The following is a 13559-nucleotide window of genomic DNA, read 5'->3' as shown; positions in this document are numbered from 1 at the left end:
GTAAGATGTGACTTTACTCCTCCTTTGCCTTCCACCATGATTGTGAGGACTCCCCAGCCATGTGGAACTGTGAGACCATTAAACCTTTTTTTCTTTATAAATTACCCAGTCTCAGGTATATCTTCATTAGCCGCATTAGAGACTAATACAGGCATTCTGGGGAGAGGGAGAGGCAGGGAGTGGCAACAGGCTGTAAGGGGCAGAGTGTGCTCCAGCACCAGAGGAGCCCAGGAACTGGAACTCCACACCAGGTGGTCTGGACTGCTCAAATGCCCAGCACCATGTTCTGGCCCACCTCTGCACCTTTATTTATGCTGTTCTCCTCTCCATCTCTCAATCACAAACTCTACTTGTCTTTCTAGTCCGTCTACATCCTTCCTTTTTCTGCAAACCTGTGTTGACTGCCTCAGGCCTTAGTGGTCTCCCCTGCACAACAGTAATCTAATGTTCATTGGGCACTTCATACTCAATATGTTGCCAGACTCCATGCTAAGGGCTTTATGGGTACTGGCTCACTCACTTCTCTTGGCAGCATGGGGGAAGCACACCAATCACCCTCACTTTACAGAGAAGAAAACCAAGTTGCAGTGAGGTTGTCGCTTGGTTAAAGCTGCCAACCTAGTGATGGCAGAATCAGAGTTTGAACCTAGGGAGTTTGACTCAAGACTTACTTATGCTTTTTTTCCTTCCACATAGTGCTGCCTCCCCCTGTCCCCCATCACAAGCACAAGTTTTATGCACAATCCTGAGACAGAGGGCCCCTTGGGGGCAGGGAGCAAATCTAGCTCTTCTGCAATTCTGCAGAAGCATTGGCCCTAGTTGAGGACTTACTGTCCCTGTGCACCACAGACACTAACTGAATTGAAGAGGAGGCAGCAAAGAACAGCATGGGGAAGTTTTGGGGAACAGCATGGGGAAGTTTTGGGGGAACAGCATGGGGCAGTTTTGGGGGAACAGCATGGGACAGTTTTGGGGAATAGTATGGGGAAGTTTTGGGCTGAGGAAATTGGTTCAAGTCCCTGCTTTTTCAATAAGCTGTGTGATCTTAAAGCCACTCATTCCACCCAGCCCTCTTGAGCTGGATTATACCAAGCAACTTCTGAAATTTCTTCCAACCCAAGAGCTCCTGCTCAGTTTTTTAGACTTACCTCTAAACGGGTCCTGTCTACATCCTTGGGCAGTCGGTTTCTTCCTCTTGTAGTCACCAGCAGCAGTTCATAAGGGTAGATCTAAGGAGAAAGGGGGGTGGTCTCCAGCTTGGGTGAGGGTGGTGGGCTTGTTCCTTTCAGGTACATTTTGTGTCTGGGCTCTCTGTTCTATCCAGAAATGGCCAGAAATTAAGTCTGGAGGAAGAGCTGGATCTGCCCTTCTTGGGGTTGCCCAGCAGTCTTAAGATACCTTCTCTCAAAAGACAAGGCCCAAGAGAGTCCCCTAATACTACTAGGAATAAGCTTGGAGGTATTTGCCATGTGCCCATGGAATAATATGGGCACATGACCTCCCGAATGTAAGTGTCTAATATTTGGTGACTGGCAAGCCAACAGAGTGTCTCTGAAGCCCAGGGAGAGTATCTGATTTCAGTAGGCAAGAGACCTAGGGCAGGATTCAGGAAAAGTGGGCCAAGAAGGGACAGGAAATGTTGGTCTTGAAAGGACCCCTGGGGTTATTTATCTATGTTCCCTTCCCTACATAGACAGTGCTGTCATCCTCCTGGTGATCCCCAGTGTAGCGGCTCCAAGAATCCTGGAGACCCCCAGGGTCTATGCACATCCTTTACCTTGTACTCTGCAGAGAGAAAAAGAGACACACACACAGAATGGAGCCCATCAGTCTTTGCTTTGCATCACTACACAGGCCTCTGTCCTACTCTCTCAGGGGGTCTGGCCTCTATTGTCTCCTTCTCTTGACCATCAGAGACCTTGTCCTTGCTGAATTCACCCTGAAGGACAATCAAGGCTGGTATGAGCACAGTGGAAGGCTGAAGATAGGGGTTGGGCTGATCTTGAGATGGTTCTAAGGAAAAAATGGCCTTAGAGATATTTAGAATAGAAATTAGAAGAATCTGAGATCTGAAACGCATGGACAAGATCCTCTATCTTCTGTGGGGAATCCTTCAAGGTTCTGATGTGGGCCCCTTCTGCCTGAGCTTGCTCATAGGAGCTGGTCGAGTTTGGTGTGAAAGCATCACTGGCAGAGAGCAGGAAGCTCATGGAATTCTTACTGGGAACAGTGTGCAATTGGCTCTGAGTGCTTCCCTCCACTGGGGCTGGCAGGCAACCCTCGGTCCACAGTCCAGGGAGAAGAGAGCAGAACTCTGTGATGGTTCTGGGAACCCAGATGGGACAGGTGGCTTGGAGACCACCCAAGGCCAGGACTTGAGAGGATAACGGAAGAGCAGGGGAAAAGGGAGGGGGTGGGAAGTGAAAGAGAGTAAGAACTCAGGGTTGGACACAGCCCAGCGTGGGGACAGAATCTGTAGCCATCATTTGCCGAAGGTCAAGCTGCAGTTTTGAGTGGTACATCTGGAGGCACTCTCCCTGCAGACCCCCTGCAGGCCTGCACTCACCTCGCATGCCCCAGTTGACTGCGTTCATGCTGTCGTAGTGGAAGAGGTCTGCGCTGGGTGTCTGCAGAAGAGACAGAACCACGGCTGGCCTGAGATAAGCTCACCTCTGCCTCCCTGAAGCACTCACCCACCTCCAGAAAATGGACTGGCGCTTGTGGGACATAGGGCCTTCTCAGCAGCCTCTGTCTCAAGTTAGGGAAACTTAACTCGCTGCTATATCCCTGTGCTTTGTCCTGGCACATGGTGGCTACTCAATATATATCCATTTATTTGGTGAATTTCACTTCATGCTTTCTTTCATTGCTCAAACACCCCTTTTTCTAGGAGATTTGCCCTGACAACCTGGCTGGAAGTTGCAAGTCACTCCTTCCATGAACTCTCAATCCTCCTTACCCTGCTCATCACTTTTCTTTTTCCATAACAGCACGCTCAGGGAGCTCAGAAAATGTACAGGCCATGTTAGAGGCCAGTGGAGCATAGCAGTTGGGGGTGGGCTGTGGGATCAGCTGGCCTGGGCTTGAATCCTGGCTCTACTACTTCTTGTTGAAGAGTGGGGGTAAGTCACCTCACTTCTCTGTGCCTTTCTGCATGCACAAAGTAGGGTAAATGATAGTAACTGCCTCCATGGGTTGTGAAGGCAAAACAAATTAGTGCTTGCAAAGTGTTTAGCTGAGTCCCTGGCACAGGGTTATTGCCCAATAAGTACTAGTTGTTCCCAAGCCCCTCCCATGGGGGCCCCTTTTCACGAAGGGGTCACCAGGGAGGGGAGCAAGTCATTGCCATACAGTTGTGTCAGTTAACCCACCACTAGCCCCAGGACCTTTGCTCAGGTTTCACCTTACAATAAGCTAATGTTGGGTTTATTAGCATTTTGGGGACAACGTCCTCCCCCATCCTCCAGCACAGCTTCTTACCCTGTGCAGCCCATTTCTTCGGTAGGCAGGCAGGGAGGCAGATTTGGAGATGAGAGGATCTGAAAAGAAGGATCTAGAGCAATTATCAGGAGTCCCAAGCCATGAGTCCCTCTCCCTGAGGTCATCTGGCTACCAATGGCCAACACTGCTCCCAACCTAGCAGGAAGGGGTGGAGGCCAGAGGCCACCAACTCTTCCTGATGCTCTCCAGATTTGCAACTTGACCATCTCTGGGGGCATTTCACTCTAGCAGAATTCTAGGTACCTGCCCAAGGCACCCACTCATACACTCTTCTATCCTTGACCTGCACATCTCTATCTTCTTGTGATAGACCCCTGTGTCCTGGCCACAGGCTGGCTCTGGACAAAGGCCCTGGAATTGAAGTCAAGCTCAGAACTCAGGTAGGAAGGCTCCCAGGTGGTGGAAGAGGTGTGTGCACTTTTTTTCCTCTGGGACCATCTATTGGGGATGGCAATCCTAGTTCCAGAAACCCAAATGCAGACCCACAATCTGACAAATACAATGGAGTAGACTATTTGAGATCAGGAGTGGGCTGGGACATCCACATTGTATGGTCATTAGAACTATGGAGAACTGCAGCTGACACAGCTCTGTCCCTCATGGGACATGATGGGCTGAAGGTAGGGCAGGTAGAACTTACCACTGTCAGCCAGGTAGTGCGACCGAGGGGCTGCAGGAGAGAAAAGCTGAAGGTCATTGCTCATGAGGAAAGACAAACATGGTGAAGACAATTCATGGGGACAAAGAGATGTGGCTTCCATACCCGATCCCCCTGGCTGGCTGGGAAAAGGGGCCTCCTGCAGCCCCTCCTGAACTGGTCAGTTTTTAATTGTTGCACTTGCACCCCATCTCCCTTCCCTGTCCAGCTCCCAGCCTGGCACCTGGCACAGGGCAGGTGCTCTGTGATATTTGTTGCACAGATGTGGTTGAACAAGGTTGAATTGCAAACAGCACTGGTGCACTGCACAGACCCCGCAGCCAGGGCTTGGAAACAGTGGCCCTCAGTGGTCAGGCAGGAAAACAGGCTCAGCAGTTCATCCTGGCTCTGCCATTAGTAGATTTCTAACTTCAGACAATCTAATTAATCACGCTTTGGTTTTCTCATCTGCAAAATGGGGAGTGATAGTGCCTCCTTTGTAGGATTATTGTGAAGAATATGTGACACAATACAGTAAGATACTTAGCATAGTGCCTGACGCATCTATAACACTCCATAAGACTGGCTTTATCATATTGCCGCCAACACCAACATCTTCAATCTCACTGAGAGTCAAGGTGTAGTATGGGGAAGAGGGAAGAGCTCATGGCCTTGGGGCCACTCCAACTTGGGTCTGATCCTGGCTCAGTCACTTACTGGCTTTTGACTTGGAGCAAGTGGCTTAACCTCAGTTCTCTCATCTATAAAGTGGGTGATAATAATCCCTCTACATTGCAGCTCTACCAGGAGTGTAACATTCCTACAAATGCCTGGCACATAGAAGTGTAATAAATGGTGCATTTTATTATCCATAATGTATTGATCCGAGATGAGATTTCCTGGCAGGACTGCATCTCACAGGAGTAAGAAAAGGAGGAGGCAGACAGAGTGTGTGTGTGTGTGTGTGTGTGTGTGTGTGTGTGTGTGTCCAGGAATAGGAGGAGCTTGCAATGAGATTTTCAAGAAGTATTTGAATAAAGCCCCTGCTTGTATAAGTTCAAATCATGGTAGACTCACTACCTCAGGAGGCCATCCCTTACATCTTTGAGCCATTCCGATGATTATAAGACATCGTTCTTTTTTTTTTTTTTTTTTTTTGAGAGAGAGTCTCGCTCTGTTGCCCAGGCTGGAGTGCAGTGGTGCAATCTCGGCTCACTGCAAGCTCCGCCTCCTGCCTCACGCCATTCTCCTGCCTCAGCCTCCCGAGTAGTTGGGACTACAGGTGCCCACCACCATGCCCAGCTAATTTTCTGTATTTTTAGTAAAGACCGGGTTTCACCATGTTAGCCAGGATGGTCTTGATCTCCTGACCTCATGATCTGCCCGCCTCGGCCTCCTAAAGTGCTGGGATTACAGTCATGAGCCACTGCGCCCAGCCAAGCCATTTTTCTTTATACTGAATCTGACTGGAAGTCAGAGCTTCAGATGCCCCAAAGCAATGGGAGTGACTGCTCAGGGCAGCATGGTCTTACATAGTGCCCCATAGAGCGCCTTTCCAAATCTGTATTCTAGACCTCAATGAAGCTCCCAGAAGGGGCATTGCAGGGTTTGGGGCTAACCTTTGTGGCCAGCCTCTTCTGATTCTTTTGTTAGCCCAGGGGATTGAGACGGGGCTGGCTACATTCCAATAGAACCTAATTTATAAAAGCAGGCAAGGAAGCTGATGAAGTAAGCTCCATTACTGATAAATTGAGTGATCTTGGGCAAGTCACCCACCACAGGGCTGCTGTGAGGAAGAAGAGAGAGGATGCATGGGCTGTGCCTCAAGGGAGCCTGGCTCAGAGCAAACAGCTGACACTGCCAGCTAGTCACAGAGAAAGGTGTCCCCGCCCCGTTGGGCTTCCAGAGCCATGCTTACAGCCATTGAGGGACATCTCATAGCCAGCTGTGTGCAGGGCTTCCCGGCTGCTGGTGGAGCTCCGGGGAGGGGTCCAGGGATCTGCATAGGAGCTCGACCGGGCCTTCATTTCTTCCTTCAGAATCAGCCGGCCAATTCCACTTTGGAGCTGAGGGTCGGGGAAGAGCAAGATAAAGTTAGAAGGAAAACAAAGGACACTGAGATGGAACGGGCTTGGGCAAGGCTGAGGATCACATCCTCCATAGCAGCCTGCTCTCATGTTTGCCTTCCCAGCGTCCCTCCCACCTTGTGGCACCCATGTTTCCTGTTGCAATCTCATCTTGTCTTCCACAAGTTGTCCTGTGGTCTGGGTGGGGGTCTGGTGGTGGGCACAAAAAAGCAAGCCTGGCCAGTGACAGGATCCCATTGTCTTGGCACAGTGATTGATTCAACAATGGGCAGATAGCCACCTTTTTCTTTTTAACTGAGGTGAAAATTACTTAACTTCAAATTAACCATTTTAAAGGAAATGATTCAGTGGCATTCAGTGCATTCACAATGTTGTGGAACTACCACCTCTATCTCGTTTCAAAATACCATTATTTCCCCCAAAGGAGATCCCATATCCATGAAGCACTCACTCCCCATTCCCCTCTCCCCGTGCCCCTGGGAACCAGCAATCTATGTTCTGTCTCTATGGATTTGCCTATTCTGCATATTTCATGGAAATGGAATCACACAATATGCGACCTTGTGTCTGGCTTCTTTTCTTAAGCATAATGTTTTCAAGGTTCATCCACATTGTGGCATGTATCATTACTTCATTTCTTTTCATGGCTGAATAATATTCCACTGTATGGACATACCATATTTTGTCCTATTCATGAGCTGATGGACATTTGGATTATTTCCATATTTTAGCTTTCGTGAATAGTGCTGCCACGGATATGAGTATATATGTATTTGTTTAAGTCCTGTTTTTAATTCTTCTGGGTATATATCTAGGAGTGGAATTGCTGGATCATGTGGTAATTTTATGTTTAATTTTTGAGGAACCACCAAATTGTTTTCCACAGGGGCTGAAACAAGGGTTTCACCAGCAATGAACAAGGGTTGCAAGCACCTGCTTACCATTATGTGAAAATAGCTTGCCTGAGCATGAAGCCAATGCAGAGGCAAGCCCCAGAAGTGAAGAGACAAATTTCCTATGACATTTTTTTGAGCAGTTGGATCTAGTCATACTTTAAGCTAATTCCACCATTTGATTTTTCAGTTATGCAAAGCTATGCTTTTCTTTTTTCTATCATAAGTGGGCTTGAATCTGTTTTTTGTTGCTTGTAAATGAAAAGACCCTCAGTGATATACGCTCTAAGCATCATATTCAGTGCTGTGGTCTCTGCCCACCTTGTGCATGCTGCGGTCAAAATCATCCTCCTCTCCTCCAGACGAGAACCTTCTGGCTCGGGGCACTGTCAAAAGACAGAAAAGATCAGCTCCGGCATGTGCACCCCACTCAGCCTGGCTTAAGGCATTTTTTTTTTAAAAAAGAAAAGCCACTTTTCTTTCTTTTTAATCTTATTTTTCAATGGAAACAGTCTCGTTTAAGCTAAGCCCCACATCAGCTGAAAGTGGTCTCTGCTGCCTTTGTGGTCTCTGAACACTCCTCTCCTGTGGGGATGGATCACTGCCCACTTGGTTATAGTCGTATTTGTGTCTTACCTTCTTTTCTAAATGAAGACTTCTTTGAGAGTAGCGAACGAGTCATCCTTTTATTAAATTTTTAAATTTTTGAGACAGGGGCTCACTCTCACCCAGGCTAGAGTGCAGTGGTGTGATCATGGCTTGTTGCAGCCTCAAGTCCCCAGGCTCAAGGGATCCTCCTGCCTCAGGCTTGCATGTAGCTGGGACTACAGGCATACACTATCATGCCCAGATAATTTTTAAAAATTTTTTTGTAGAGAAGAAGTGCTATGTTGTCCAGGCTGGTCTCAATTTCCTGGGCTCAAGTGATCTTCCCAACTTGGCCTCCCAAAGTGCTGGGATTACGGGCGTGAGCCACTGTGCCCAGCACCAAAGAGTCATCTCTGAGCTTCTGTGAAGCTTTGCTCAGAATGGACATTGAATTAGTAAAGACATTGAATCAGAGTGGATCTTGATGGGGGGAAAAATTTCCCCCCATACTTGAAAGGAACAGCTTGGGTTGTATGATTGGGTGAGGTGGTATCTGAGGACCACTGAGACCCCTTACCAGGAGCCTTCCACCTCCCCACATCCTCTCTTTCTCCATCCTCCCAACCATTTTTTACCCTACAGCCAAAGTGGTCTCTCAAAAGCACAAATGTGATCATGCCACTACTTTCAATGTGATCATGCCACTCACTGTTTAGGATAACAACCAAAATCCTTACCTCAACCCTCAAAACCCTGGGGGACCTCCTCCCTCACCTCTACTGCTTCTCTTCCTCTCTGAGTTCAAGGTTAAGTGGACAGCCTTTTCTTTCCTCCAGTGGAATCCTCTCTCACATCCTGGGTCTTTGCAGAAGTATTTCTACACTCTCTGCTGTGTTACATCCTTGCCACCCTCCTGATGGCAGCTGAGTGGCTGCATTGAGAAACTTTTGTCATCTTCAGGCTGGACAGCAGGCCCCTGCCATCAGCTCTCCTACCTTCTGCGCATCACCTCCCTCTCATGGCTGGGGCCTATGTCTTCTCCACAAGGGCAGGGACCTGGTCTGTTTTGCTCCCCAGTGTATTGCTAGGGTCCATGGCCAGTGTTTAGTACATATTTGTTGAATGAATAAACACCCTTAGTTATAAACCCTCTAAGCACTCTTATTCAGAATGATTGTATAAAGGAGTGGGCAACTGTTCTGAACACCCGTGTCCTTGGCACAGGTGTTAGGGCCCTGGACCCAGGCTCCTATGGGGGTACTACCTTTGGGGGACCCATGGTAGGTCCAGTACTCAGACTCCGAAGCATAGTAGGGGTCTGGCGAGTAGATGGGACTGTACTTGGAGGTCTGGCTGATGTCTTCACTTGTTTTGCTCTTGGTTGCTGTAGACAAATCACCTGCAGAGGACCCAAGGAGAGCACTTCAGGAAGGCAGAGTGACCGGGATGGGACTGTGTACCCTTTTCCTATCTTTACCAGGCTCCAGCCCAGGGGAGTGAGTCCACTTCAAGATCAGGGCTCTCTGTTAGAACTGGGCCATGGAGCATCGGAGCTGGAAAAGCACTGGGGCCAAACCCTCATTTTGCATTTAGTAATTGGAGCACCAGAGAGGGGAAGGGGCTTGCTTAAGACCACATAGCATGTGAGCACCAGAACTGGACCAGATCCCAGCCCAGGGCTCTTTCCAGCACATTCCATGGATTCCCAGGTCTGTTCCAGAATGACCTCTAAGGGTGTGGCTCCTCAAATAAGACTGGACAGGTCCCAGGTGAGCCCCAGCCCTTTAGAAGCCTTCCTAGCCCTTTAGAAGCCTTCCTTGTTATAAATTTGAACTCCATCATTTCTCACAACCTGAGATGCCACATTCTGCTCAGGGACTACATAGCCTGAAGGAAGGAGTGCTAGACAGGGAGTCAGCAAACCTGGGTTCTGGTCCCAGCTCTGCCACTTTACTCAGCTGTAACACTGGGCAGGTCCTACCATCTCTGCCTTAGTTTCCTCATCTGTAAGTGTCAGAATCGGTCTGCTGGCTCAGCTGCCATCCAGCTTCAAGCTTCCACCTGAAGTAAGCCCAGGACAGGGGTGACCAAAAAGACCCACTGCAGTCACAACTACTTACAGAGCAGTGACTTCTCGTGGCCCAAACGTGGGTGACAGGCTGGTAGAGCAGAGAGAGGGGCTGGGGAAGTGTGTGTGGCTGCATGACCATTTCTCATGGTCAGCTACAGGAAGCTTTAGGGACAAGCTCTGTGCTCTGTGGAGCCAGAGTGGCAGAGCGTGGTGGATCAGCTTCAGCCAGCCCTGGGCTATGCAGCCCCCACAACAGCACTTGCTTCCAAAGCTTTCAAATTCTTCTCTTTGACTTGGGTCCTGGGCAGCCCCTCCTGGCTGACTGCATTTAGCTTTTTCCTCCGCCCTCTTTTCCAAGCAACCCACCTCCACCCCAGACTCCTCTTGAGTCTGCTTTAGTGCCACCCCTCAGGGCCCACCTGGAAAATCCCACAAAGTCCTGAGAAGCTTGTGACCTGGGGGCCTTTTCTAGGTATAAAGCCAAACTACCTTTGTCATGTTGGTGTCTTTCTATGAGTACTCAGGGGACATGGCATGTCCTTCACAAGCTGGTACAGACTTGCACATGCTCACAGACTCACCTCGGACCCCCCTGCTCAGCCCCCTCTGGAACCAAGGATGTCTGTATAAAATGTAGAATCTTAGGCACCCAGAGCCGCTGTTTAAACTCGTATTGTCCCCTCCACCAGCTAATTAGTTCAGAACCTGGTGCAGGACTGCTTCGCTCATCTCCAAGCTCCACCGATTCTGGGCCTCCTTTTGTTATCCAGCTAGACCCTTAAGCAAGTGTGGGTGCACAGGGTGGCAGCTGCTCCTCTGCAGCTTCAATGGAAGGGATGTGCTCCTTCAATCGAGGCTTAGTAAGTACTTTTTGCAAAAGTGAACAGGTGGTGTCAGTGATGAATGACTTGGTGGTTCTCATACTAAGTGCAGGGAGGAATCATGGACAAAGCCAGTTATAGTGCAGATTCTTAGTTCACACTCTCAATATTTATAATTAAGGGAGTCTGGGGCAAGGAAGGGGCCAGGGAATCTGCCTTTTAAATGTCTCTCAGGTGCAGATGGTCCATAGATCATTCTTTAAGAAACACTAAATCAATGAATGAATGAAAGAAGGAAGTCACCCTCTGCAACCTTACTCATCTACATCTCCTCTGCAAGTCTCCATCCACTCTCAGGAGACTGTGACTGAGAACAACTTACAGCAGGGGTTCCCAAGTTGGGCTGAGTATCAGAATCACTTGGAGAAACCGTGACACATACAGAATTCGAATTCAGTAAGCCTGGGGTGGGGCCCAGGAATCTGTATGCATCCCCTGTTATTCTAATGAACATTTCAAGTATTAATGCCTTGGAGTGTGACTCTCCCAGGGGCATGTGCGTTTTACAAAGGTTTTACCAATTATGGAACTTAGGATGACAGAGAGCAGGTAAGGGGGAGATTGCAAAGGTGGTGGGAAAGAACTGAGGGGACATGAGGACTTTGTTCTTTTGAAATGATACCAAACTCTGCCCTAATGTCACCCTGGGTGATGGGGCAGTCAACAAGAAGGACCAAGATGCAGCCTTGTGTTTTGTGGCTCCTGGTGGCCTGTGCAGGGCCATCTGCATAGATGGTTAACCTCCCCCCTCTCCTTGTGTGGCCAAGCCCTATCTACCTCTGACCATACCATGCCGTTTGTAGATCGGGGGTTTCCGGTAGATGTTACTGTCTCCAGCTGCCAGACAGACCAGGAAGGGACAGTGGGGAGGGGAGAGAGAGAGACAGGAGAAAAGGGAGAAAAGGAGATAGTACTTGGTCAGTTGATCTCAGAAGAGAGAGATGGGCAACAACTTTTTCCAAGGGGCCACCATCTTTTTCCCCTGGTGACTTCCTCTTCCAAAGTTGAACTTTCAACCTCGTCCCAACAGGTTCCAAGTAAGGTGCGGGAAGAGGAATGGATGGATCCAAGTGGTGCCGAGGAAGAGACCTGGGGCTTGAAGGGTGAGCATGCAGGCACAGGGGTGTGTGTGCTCAGCAGAGCCCCATGCAGGAAGGTGTCCACTGCCTCCACCAGTGGCCACACCTCATTCCATGTGAAAATTCCCAGGATGCTGCAGCCGAATTTCAGCTTACCTCCCTCCCCCTCCCTCAAAGACAGACAGGATGGGACCCCTCTAGGGCAGCTGAGGAAGGTGTAGATGAAACAGCAGCATGAGCTCTTGAGGGGAACGTGAGTGGGGAGTGAAAAACTGAGCTTGGTGTCAGGAGACTGAGGTTCAGCCCTGGCTCTGCTGTGACTCAGAGGGAGACCTTGTCCAAACTACACCCACTCAGTCCTGTAGCCCCTGTCTTCCTCTCAATTCCTGTCATGACCTGCGGTCACATGACATGATAGTGCTCTTCCCTCTGCCTGGGATGTCTTTCCTTGGCTTCTTCATAGGCTGGCTCTTCATCTTTTTTTCTTTTTGAGACAGAGTCTCACTTTGTCACCCAGGCTGGAATGCAGTGGCACGATCTTGGCTCACTGCAACCTCCGCCTCCCAGGTTCAAGTAATTCTCCTGCCTCAGCCTCCTGAGTAGCTGGAATTACAGGTACAAGCCACCATGCCCAGCTAATTTTTATATTTTTAGTAGAGACAGCGTTTCACCATGTTGGACAGGTTGGTCTCGAACTCCTGATCTCATGACCCACACGCCTCGGCCTCCCAAAGTGCTGGGATTACAGGCGTGAGCGACCACGCCAGGCCCCTTCTCATCTTTCAGCTTTAATGTTACCTCCTCCAAGAAGCTCTTCCTGACCGCCCCATCTAGCCTGGCCTCTCTCAGCCTCATCATCTCTCAGGATGGCCTGTTTTATTTATGTTTATGGCACCTATGGCTACCTGAAATTATCCTCTACCTATTTGTTTACTCATTTTTATCTCTCTTCCTACATTAGTACGTAAATACCAAATACCATGAAGGCAGGATCTGGGCTGGGTTGAGCACAGTTGCAACCTCTGAGCCCAGAACAGTGCTTAGCTGTACAGAAGGAATAACAGTGGCTTGGGAAGCCAAGTAACTGGCTCACAGTCATGAGCTTATAAGCAGCTGCATCGGATTCCATCCCAAGAGCTTTGAAGCCAAAGTGTGTAGCCTTCACCGCTGTGTGCCCCTGCTGCGCCCCTCACAGCCCTCAAGCACTCACGGTATCTCACTCGAGCTCCCTGCCTCTTTTCTTCCCGGGACTGCTTCTTTGAGGTCCTAATGGAGGCTGGTTCTGTCAAGTGGATAATCTGAAGCCCGTGGGTGTGTTGGGGTTGGAGGACAGGGTTGGTGCAGGTGCTTGGTTAGGGAGGTCCCTCAGGAACCAGCTTCTTGGTGCCTGTGTGGCATCGAGGGGGTGACTCAGGCACCTGTGACCCCATGGAGCATGCATCCATCCCAGGAATTCTGGGCTGGCAGTGCCTACCTGGGATGTGAAAGTGCTTGGGAGCCTGGTAAGAGGTTGGAGTGGAGGACCTCACATCTAACTGGCTATGGTATGGAGAGCTCCGGCCACTCTCGGGCCCTGGAGCACGCAGGAAGTGGTCGCCAAAGAAAACAGAGGCACAGAGAAAACAGGCATTAACGCGGTGGCAGTTTAGGAAGTGGTGAGGTGATGACAGCAGAGATGGGGGATGGGCTGGGGCGTCTCAGCGTGCTCAGGTTCCGGGGCGGAAGCAGCATGTGCTCTCATGCACCACGTTGGCAGAAACAAGCTTGACTTTGCTTCCTGGCTTGATCCCAAAGTCAGATTTTGTGAGATGTAAAGATCAAC

The 13559-nt window shown here is 49.5% G+C and overlaps 1 protein-coding gene across 13 annotated transcripts in view; it reads right to left on the bottom strand.

Moving 5' to 3' along the window:
• The window catches only part of ABLIM3 (actin binding LIM protein family member 3), a 119050-nt gene that overhangs the window by 6557 nt on the left and 98934 nt on the right, over positions 1-13559 (bottom strand). For 5 of the 13 annotated variants that reach the window (NM_001345858.2, NM_001345860.2, XM_024446004.2 and 2 more), the window contains 8 exons: positions 8971-9105; positions 7440-7504; positions 6057-6204; positions 4142-4171; positions 3481-3539; positions 2567-2627; positions 1778-1785; positions 1149-1229 (listed from right to left, as the gene is read on the bottom strand). In NM_001345858.2, the coding sequence (NP_001332787.1) occupies positions 1149-1229; positions 1778-1785; positions 2567-2627; positions 3481-3539; positions 4142-4171; positions 6057-6204; positions 7440-7504; positions 8971-9105 (587 nt within the window). The other 8 variants (NM_001301018.3, NM_001345859.2, NM_001370417.1 and 5 more) reach the window with 3 other exon arrangements.

Source organism: Homo sapiens, chromosome 5 (assembly GCF_000001405.40).
Source record: "Homo sapiens chromosome 5, GRCh38.p14 Primary Assembly".
Taxonomy (NCBI): domain Eukaryota; kingdom Metazoa; phylum Chordata; class Mammalia; order Primates; family Hominidae; genus Homo; species Homo sapiens.
The sequence above is the reverse complement of the archived record's forward strand: the minus strand, read 5'-3'. Positions and strand labels throughout refer to the sequence as shown.